The 9,586-nt window shown below is 45.5% G+C and overlaps 1 long non-coding RNA gene across 1 annotated transcript; it reads right to left on the reverse strand.

Moving 5' to 3' along the window:
* On the reverse strand, positions 1 to 8,805 carry LOC102723890 (uncharacterized). The gene is made up of 6 exons (XR_430589.4): positions 8,574 to 8,805; positions 7,923 to 8,060; positions 7,340 to 7,455; positions 6,248 to 6,332; positions 1,389 to 1,469; positions 1 to 244 (listed from the first exon to the last, which is right to left on the reverse strand). It is a non-coding gene; the product is annotated as an uncharacterized LOC102723890 (long non-coding RNA).
* Positions 8,806 to 9,586: the final 781 nt, after the last annotated feature.

Here is a 9,586-nt window from a genome sequence, read left to right on the forward strand (position 1 = left end):
CCAGGTTCCATCAGGTTTTTAATTGTACATCAGTGACTGTGAAAAAGCAATTATTTCCATAATTAATATACAAACTATAAAAAAACAGACTCAAAGAAAAGAAAGATGACAGAGTGAAAGAAGGTACATTTCTTTCATGTTCAAACCACGGAGTTCACAACACAGCAGCACACACAGCCGGGCGCTTTGTGGTCTCGGCACCCTCGGCTTCCCCTTCACGAGGCCGCTTTCGACTAGTAGAAGGCTGAAAATAAAGGAAAATGGAGAAATGTTCAAAAGAAAATCACTGGCTTCTTTAAGATTATCAAAGTTCCTCAATGTACTTCCAGTAAAGTGGGGGCATTTGATGTGAAATTCTAGTACCAAAAATTACTGGTTTTCATCATTGACAACTGAGTCCTCATCACAGCCCGCAACTCAGACATGCTTATCTAATAGATATTTCTCTCCCTTATGGCTTCTGACCTCTGAATGATGTATACTGAAAGCAAGTAGCATAACCAACTTCCTCTTGATCATCCTCTTCTAAATATCAAGTTTAAAAGGACTACAATACCTCTCAGTTGAAGCCCCAAGTCTTGGTCTTTTGCGGGAAGACAACCTTTGTGCCTTAGTTGTTTTCCCATATGCAAAATTGGGAGGAAGGCTGGGTGTGGTGACTCACACCTGTAATCCAAGCACTTTGGGAAGCCGAGGTGGGTAGGTCATTTCAGGTCAAAAGTTCGAGACAAGCCTGACCAACATGGCAAAACCCCATCTCACCTAAAAATACAAAAATTAACTGGGCACAGTGGCGGACACCTGTAGTCCCAGATACTCAGGAGACTGAGGCAGGAGAACTGCCTGAACTCAGGGGGCAGAGGTTGCAGTGAGCTGAGATTGCACCACTGCACTCTGGCCTGAGTGACAGACTAAGAGTCTGTCTCAAGAAAATAAAAATCGGGGGGGAGAAAACAGTGGGAAAAAGGACAGCTACCATTCAACAACAACAACAACAAAAAAGCAGGACTGGAATTAACTTATACTCACAAAGAACTTTAAAGAATAAAATTGTAATCAAGGAATCAACTACGGACCCAAATTTTAATTTTCCAACAAATTTATATTTGAGCCTCTAATAGAGTCTTTTGAAATTGCCTTGCAGGTGACCTTTTGGATGACAATCCCTAGCTGTGCTTATCTGTCTATTATGTGTTAGATATTAAACATAACCTGCATTTTTAAATCTAAGGGTGCTAGAGTGAATCAAGTTCAAAGAGAGTTTCTACTACATTATAACTGAAACAATGTTAAGCAATTATTACTCAGGAAAATCTTGAATTTCATCTCTTTACTTATCAGCTCCTTAAGCCTAGACTACATTTAGTGATCATCAGGAATACGAATACCTGGGCTAGAACCTGGGATAGACCTGTGGATTCATTTTCCTCAGACAGAAGATCTTGAAACTTTCTCTTCATGTCTTCATCCTGTGAGGGAATTAAAAACATAAGTAGCTGTGTCTGAAGGATAATAAACTCCTAGAATGACAGGGCTAGCATGCCCCTGTGGAAAGAGGGAGGAAAAGATGTCCGTCCAAGAATCATCCCCTTGATGAAGCTCCCACAGCGAAGGCATTATGTGTTGCCCCCCTCTACCTTCCCAGAGGAGTCAAATTAGCAGTCAATGCTCCATCAATCCTGGCTGACTCACATCCACATGCCTAAAAGCTCTCAGTGGGTCAATCACAGCCTCCGGCAGTCAAGAGTTTCTGAATTAGCATCCCAGATCCTGAGAAAGGTGACAATCAGGGGGCCAGGGGCTGGGTCTGACTCCGTGCAGCTCCTCAAATCCTTCCAGGACCACTCTCCACCTGCTGCCCCTGCCATGAATGAGGCCAGTCACCCAGGCTGTCCTAACAACCAGCCCAGCACCCTAGGAAAATTCACCCAGCAGATGCCATACAAATTTTCAGAAGTACTTAAGGCCACAATATCCCAGAGCTCAGGTCTAATGAGAAAGGGAGACAATAAACATAACAAAGCATTACAGCTGTTTCATGCTGCAGGAGCGGGAGATGAGGAGGGCACAGACAGTGGGTATACGAGTAGCTCCCACCTCTCTGGATGCTTACTTCTGCAGGGTTCAAGGATTTGCATTAGGAAACCCTGAGAGGTGGTCTGATGCAGCTCTCCCCAACTTCAGCAAGGTGAAAGGAACATCTATAACTAGGAATGTGGCCTTTGAGTTCTGGCCAGAAGCCCAGCTCAGCCACTCACAGGTGGCATGTGCAGAATACAGACCCAGAGTTATCTGACTCCAATGCCTCATGTACTTTCCCACCCAACTCCAGCCCCTCCTCCCACTGAGCCAAGCATACCACAGTGGGGAAAGAGAGAGGATACAGTAAAGTCCTCCACCATTTGGCAATTTGATGGATATGGAAATTTTACAACACTAGGTTGGGCATGGTGGCTCATGCCTATAATCCCAGCACTTTGGGAGGCCAAGGTGGGAGATTTGCTTGAGGCCAGGCATTTGAGACCAGCCTGGGCAACATACTGGGACTTTGTCACTACAAAAAAATTTAAAAATTAGGCCAGGCACAGAGGCTCACGTCCGTAATCCCAGCACTTTGGGAGGCCAAGGCGGGCGAATCACCTGAGGTCGGAAGTTTGAGATCAGCCTGGCTAACATGGTGAAACCCCGTCTCTACTAAAAATACAAAATTAGCCAGGCGTGGTAGTGCATGCCTGTAATCCCAGCTACTCAGGAGGCTGAGGCAGGAGAATCACTTGAACTCGAGAGGTGGAGGTTGCAGTAAGACAGGATCACACCACTGCACTCCAGCCTGGGCAAAAGACTACGACTCTGTCTCAAAAAAAAAAAAAAAAAAAAAAAAATTTAAATTAGCCAGACACGGTGGCATGCACCTGTAGTCTCAGCTACTTGGGAGGCTGGGGCAGGAGGATCACTTGAGCCTGAAAGTCATGGTGCAGTGATCATGCCACTGCACTCCAGCCTAGGTGAGACAGCAAGACCCTGAGGAAGGAAGAAAGGAAAGAAGCAAGGAAGGAAAAAGGGGGGGGGATGAAAGAGGGGAGGGGAAAGGAATGGAGGAGAGGGGAGGGGGAAGGAAGGAGGAAGAAAGAAAGAAGGAAAGGAGGACCAGGCACAGTGGCTCATGCCTGTAATCCCAGCACTTTGGGAGGCCAAGGCAGGGCAGATCACTTGAGGTCACTCTGTTTTGAGTTTCTCAGTGTAGCTCTCCATTGCCATTTGACAGCAGCAAGCTCATCTGGATTCCTCTCCGCACCCTCTCACAGCCTTACTTAGGATCTCAATTATCTTGCAGTGTCACTCTCAAAAGTCCACCTCTTGGCAGCCCTTCAGTGAAGCCAAACAGAGCGGTCACAAGCCTAATCAGGCTTATATTTAAAACAAGTAATCAGGTCAGGCACAGTGGCTCATGCCTGGAATCCCAGCACTTTGGGAGGCCAAGGTGGGTGGATCACCTGAGGTCAAGAGTTCGAGACTAGTCTGACCAACATGGTGAAACCCCATCTCTACTAAAAATACAAAAATGAGCTGGGCATGTGGCAGGCACCTGTAATCCCAGCCACTTGGGAGTCTGATGCAGGAGAATCACTTGAACTCAGAGGTGGAGGTCACAGTGAGCTGAGATCACACCATTGCACTCCAGCCTGGTAGACAAAAGTGAGACTCCATCTCAAAAAAGGCAATAAATAAATAAACATTGATTTTCTTCATAATGTCTACAATTATTCCAAAATATTAAATTAGCCAGGAACAGTGGCTCGTGCCTATTATCCAAGCACTTCATGAGGCTGAGGTGGGAGGATCCCTTAAGTCCAGGAGGTCGAGGCTGCAGTGAGCTGTAATTGCACCAGTGCACTCCAGTTTAGGCAACAGAAGAAGTCCTTGTCTCCAACAATAAATAAAATAAAAATTAAATTATAATATCCCTTGAAAGCAAACAGAAGAAATCCTCTATTTCAGGCAGTAAATATGAGGCAGACAGTAGATGTAAGGGATGCTCCCAAAACTGGGCACTCTGTTAATGACAAAACAGAGACCAGAATCCACATTCCCAACACTCAGTCCAGCGCCAGAACCACAAAACCATTTGGTTTTTGTGAAAACACTGAATTTTCCCAAAATAAAACCCAAACTATCACTAACAGATGTTTTAGATGGTCAGTCTTCATCTTTGTCTTCATTCAATGCTCATTCCTCCTTTTACTGCAAAAACAAAAGGTGGCTAAAAGAGTATTCCAGGGAGATTCTGCAACGGAGTTGAACTTCACCTTCTCCTTGGTTGTTAATAAGTTTTCTTTGAGACAAAGAAGCACAAGAAAAATAGGCTATGCTTGCTCATAAATTTCAGGCAGATGCAAACCCTGTTCCCAGGCTCAACTGGCCAGCTCTGTTTTTTTGCTAGAGATGAACACAGCTCCTGTACCTCTACATTTAGAACCAAGAGTTTCCCTATTAGGACACATGAAAAGAGCCAAAAGACATGTTTCTCTTTTTCATCAAAATTAAAATCCCCACATGCAAAGGCACCCTTTGTTTCCAAACCCCCTTCCTCTAGGTTCCTGCTGTTTCAAATCTGTGTGGTCTATTAAATGCTAAATCATCTGACAGATTTCTTCTGGGGAGACTATAGTTTCCAGGGCAACATCCAAAACACATATATCTGTCTTTTTTTTTTCTTAAGTTTTTGTTGTTCTCAACCTGAGCTGGCCTGAGCAAAACTGTTAGGTGTAGAGGATTAGAACAGAGAATGGGGACAGTCTTCCCAGAGTCCCAGAAGTACGGGGCTGAGGCTGGATTTCCCAAGGAGTTCCTGGACCAGTAATCCCCAGAGAAACAGCATTTAGCTCAAGTAACAGCCTCTAGCTCAAGCTACCAGTTCTGTCCCCCATCTCCACAGAAAACGGATTGATACAGTTTGGCTTTGTGTCCCTATGCAAATCTCATCTCAAATTGTAATCCCCAGGTGTTGAGAAAGGGACCTGTTGAGAGGTGATTGGCTCATAGGGGCAGTTCCCCCCAGGCTATTCTCATGATAGTGAGTGAGTTCTCACGAGATCTGACAGTTTCATAAGAGGCTCTTCACCCTTCACTTCCTTCACAAGCTCTCTCACCTGCTGCCATTAAGACATGCCTTCTTCCCCTTCCACCATGATTATAAGTTTCCTGAGGCCTCCCCAGCCATGTGGAGCTGTGAGTCAGTTAAAGCTCTTTTCTCTATAAATTACCCAGTCTTGGGCAGTTCTTTATAGCAGTGTGAGAACAGACTAATACACAGACCAAAAGAAAATTAATAGAAAGGGGCATGGCTGTGCTGAATGGAACTGCTCGTTACAGAAGACCAGACATCTATCAGAAAAACCTGCCCAATGCCGTAGCTAATTCCAAAACTAAAGATTAACCCAGCAAAGCCACAATGTACTTCCAACTCTTGGCAGTTCCAAATGAGGTCAGCATTTAATAATGGCAGCCCCTAACCCTAGCAGGAGCACAGCAGTAACACAGATGAAAGGTGCAGGTGACAGCCTTCACTAAGGACACATTTACTCATCTGAATGAACAAGCAGTGGGACCCTTTATACCCAGTCACTTGGGCTTGAGAAATAGCTGGATTCTCCCCAGGGAGGCTGCCCTCCTCCCCCAGTTCCCTGATTTAAGGTTGAAGATGGCTGGAATGCACCCCACCTGTGAAGAACAGTGGACATGGCTTGGGGTAGAGCCAGAACAAGACCTCAAAAGGACACAGGCCAAACTGGAGACTCGGGGCAGCCAGGTGGAACCAGAACAGGACATAAAGTGAGCTTGTACATCCAACAGCCATGAGTAACATCAAAAAGGTTGTAGCCTGGCCAACACGGCAAAACCCCATCTCTACAAAAAATACAAAAAGTAGCTGGGCGTGGTAGCATGCACCTTTAATCCCAGCTACTTGGGAGGCTGAGGCAGGAGGATCACTTGAACCCGGGGGGCAGAGGTTGCAGTGAGCTGAGATTGTGCCACTGCACTCCAGCCAGGGAGACAGAATGAGAACCTGTCTCAAAAAAGGAAAAAAAAAACAGGTTGTAACCCATCTGCCAAGATACTCCCCCAATACATTAAAACAATTAAACAGATTCAACAAAGTAAATATGTTTCTGTCCTCTGTCTCATGTCTCTCATGCAGCAGGGCTTCCCATGTATTTTATGCTAGCAGGCACTGTCCCACACCCACCTGAAACCATGGTGTCTTAAGGCTTCTTCTGTCGTAAAACATGCCTTTGGATCCACTACCAACAACTTCTTGACAAGGTCCAGAGCTAAAGCAACAATTGGGCAAATCACAGTGAAAAGTATAAATATATTATCAGTAACAGTATGCCAGAATTAACAGGTCACCATCCAGAAAGAGCAGAGAGGGTCTGAGATCATCAGGGAGTCAGCAGACAGGGCCCCTTAATCTTCCTCATTCTCTGTATTCAGAGTACTGTGAGAAGACCAGGAATGACAATGACACTCCCTGTCTCCTGCTGCTGGGACATCAGTCACTACCTCTTCGTTGCCTGTTCCCTCTCTTGTTGCTAGACTCGAGGTCAAACTAATTAAAGCTAAACTTCTACCCAATTCTAAGATAACTGGGATGCACAGCAAACTCTCCCTGACATCTACAGATGGATGGGTGACAGTTACTCAGCCAGGGAGAGGCTCCCTGGAACTGCAGACTTGTCAGAAATAAAACTTGACTACTCCAGCAAGCAACAAATGCACGCTGGCCTGTATATTACAACATTATTATTCCTTAAATATTCTGACATTTAACACAATCACCTATGTTATGTTATTTGACATTTAATTTTCTACTTTCTCTTCAGGGAACTAAAGTTGCCAGGATAAATTATAAAATATAAGGTAACTAAAGACATCTAGTTTTTACACGCTTGCTTACTCAAAGGAAACCTTGTAACTAAAAAGTTACAAGTGCATTTATTTTGCTCATTAAAATAGGTACCAGGCACTTGTGTACATTATCCCTAACCCTCAAAAACCTTTTAAGGTAGGGATTATTGAGGGTCCCTTTACACAGAAAGAAATTGGAGACAGAGGTTAAATAACTTGCCTAAGGCCACACAGCTAAGTAGTAGCAGACCCAGGACCTGAGTGCATGCTCTTAATAATTTCCAGTGCCTCTCAAATGGTGTGAAACTAACGATAGAAAATAAGAACAGAATTGACAGGAGAAAACACCATGGAATTTGGAGAGAAACTCCCACCACAGGACACACACATTTTAGAATACCACAAATTCTTAACCCTTTCATATTCATACCTTTCTCTGAGATTTCTGCCCAGACTTTAGGAATGAAGTTGTGTTTTCCACTGGTGATCTGATCCTTCAGTGACACTTGAGTCCTATGCTCAGAGAAAGGTGGATACCCACTAAGGCTTAATAATGGTAGAGAGAGAAAGGAAAAGAAATCAAGTGGCATTCTCAGTGGCATTCAGATATAAAGATTTCTTTTTCAGCATAATGAAAAGTCTGATTTTTCTTTAAATCAATGGTCAAAAAGTGAGCTAGGCTGGGCACAATGGCTCATGCTTGTAATCCCAGTACTTTGGGAGGCCGAGGGAAGAGGATCACTTGAGCCCAGGAGTTCAAGACCAGCCTGGGCAACATGGCAAAACCCCATCACTACAAAAAATAGAAAAATTAGCTGGGCATGGTGGTGTGCGCATGTAGTCCCAGCTACTCGGGAGGCTGAGGTGGGAGGATCACTTGACCCAGGAGGCAGAGGCTACAGTTAGCCAAGATCAAGCCACTGCATGCCAGCCTGGACAACAGAGCAAGACACATTTGTGACTTCATCTAATCACCTCCTACCAGTCTGTGAAGCAATGAAAATATTTCTTACCAGATAAAAAGAATAACTCCTAAAACCCAGCAGTCCAACACAAACAAGAACTTCAGGAGCCAAGCAGGTGGGGGTTCCACATAAGGTTCTCACGAGAGAGGTCTCTCCCAAAATCTTGGAGTGCCCAAAATCAGTAATCTAAAATTCAGTACAAAAGGGAATAATGTTGAACTTGTCATAAAATAAAAAGATTAACATAGTCTGCCAGTCCAAGAAGGCACGTAGGCTAGATCAGTTTCTATTGTACAATTCACACCTGCCATTAATCTGGAATCTACAGATTCATGTCTTTGCAAGTTAAGACATTTAACTTTGCTTAAATTAAAATTCCTGAGCCTAGGAATCTCAACACTCAGGCTTTCCAACTTAACCTATGTCCTCTGTAATCTTACAAAAAGCTTATTACCTTTATCACAGACACTTCAGGATTCTAATTAGTTCTACATGTTTCTTAGACCCCACTGTCTCAAACATGGCTGCGCTATGGAATACCTGTGGAGCTTGGAAAAACATGCTTATACCTGAGTGCCACTCTCAGCTTCTGAGGTAAAGCCTGGGTATCATAAATCCTAACAAGAGATTCTAAAGTGATGCCAGGCTTGATAAACAGGGAAAGGCAGGGCATGTGATTACACTCATTCATTCATTCACCTATTCTGCTCAAAGGGAGACAGTGTCCCCAAGGTCTGTGCTGAGGAGAAAGCTGCTCTGCCTTCGAGGTGTACCCCGGGTCTGTGCTGAGCAGAACGCAGCTCCGCCCTCGCGGTGCCCCCGGCCCGCCCGCCCGGGTCTGTGCTGAGGAAAACACTGCTCCGCCTTCGCTGTATCTCCGAAGTCTGTGCAGAGGAGAACTCAGCTCGCCCTCACGATGCAATCTGGGTCTGTGCTGAGGAGAGCGCAGCTCCGCCCTCGCAAAGGCGCACAGCGCGGGCGCAGGCGCAGAGAGGCGCACATTTTATGAATAGCAAATCAATTTCTCCCTGTTCCTCTTACATCGAGGCTGGACACACGTTTACAGGGGATCAGTGTGAAGGGAAGCTGGTGAGGCTGCCTGAGAAGCCCCCTGCCTGCGTCTCCCAGTGGACTCCTTGGGAGCGCCCCCTCCCCTGCTCTGCCCAACAGCGCCTGAACTGTGGCCACTTGCACTCCTGTTGCCTACCCAGTGGCTTGAACTCCAGAACTTGCCACCCTTCAGTGGAATTCCTGGAGGAGTGAGGAGCTCTGTGCTATGCTTGGCCACCGAACATGGGCCATCTCTCCTATTATGGTTTGAAATGTACCGTAGTGTCTTGTTTGGTAATTGTATAATAATATGGGGAGACTGTGCGGGTGTCTGCTAGCTTGTCTGCTGGTTCTTACTCATGGTGCCTTCTTCCCTTTCAGACTTGGATATCTTTGTGTGCTTCTTGGGGCCCTTGGAAGGGTGTCTGTGGGGTTTCCGTGAGGCCAAAGACAGAGGTTCCTTCTCACGAGGATGGTGTTTGCTTTCACATGGACAGCCCAGACCACCTGGAACCAAGTGCACAGAAGCCCCACCATCCCCGGGCCTCCCAGTTGTGATGGGTGAGCGGTCCAAGTCCGCAGGAGGCCAGAGGCTCTTTGTGGTTGAATCTGTGAGTTTCCTTTCCTTTTTCCCTCCCACTCCTTTTAATGCTAATGAATTC

This window comes from Homo sapiens (genome assembly GCF_000001405.40).
Source record: "Homo sapiens chromosome 16 unlocalized genomic scaffold, GRCh38.p14 Primary Assembly HSCHR16_RANDOM_CTG1".
NCBI lineage: Eukaryota > Metazoa > Chordata > Mammalia > Primates > Hominidae > Homo > Homo sapiens.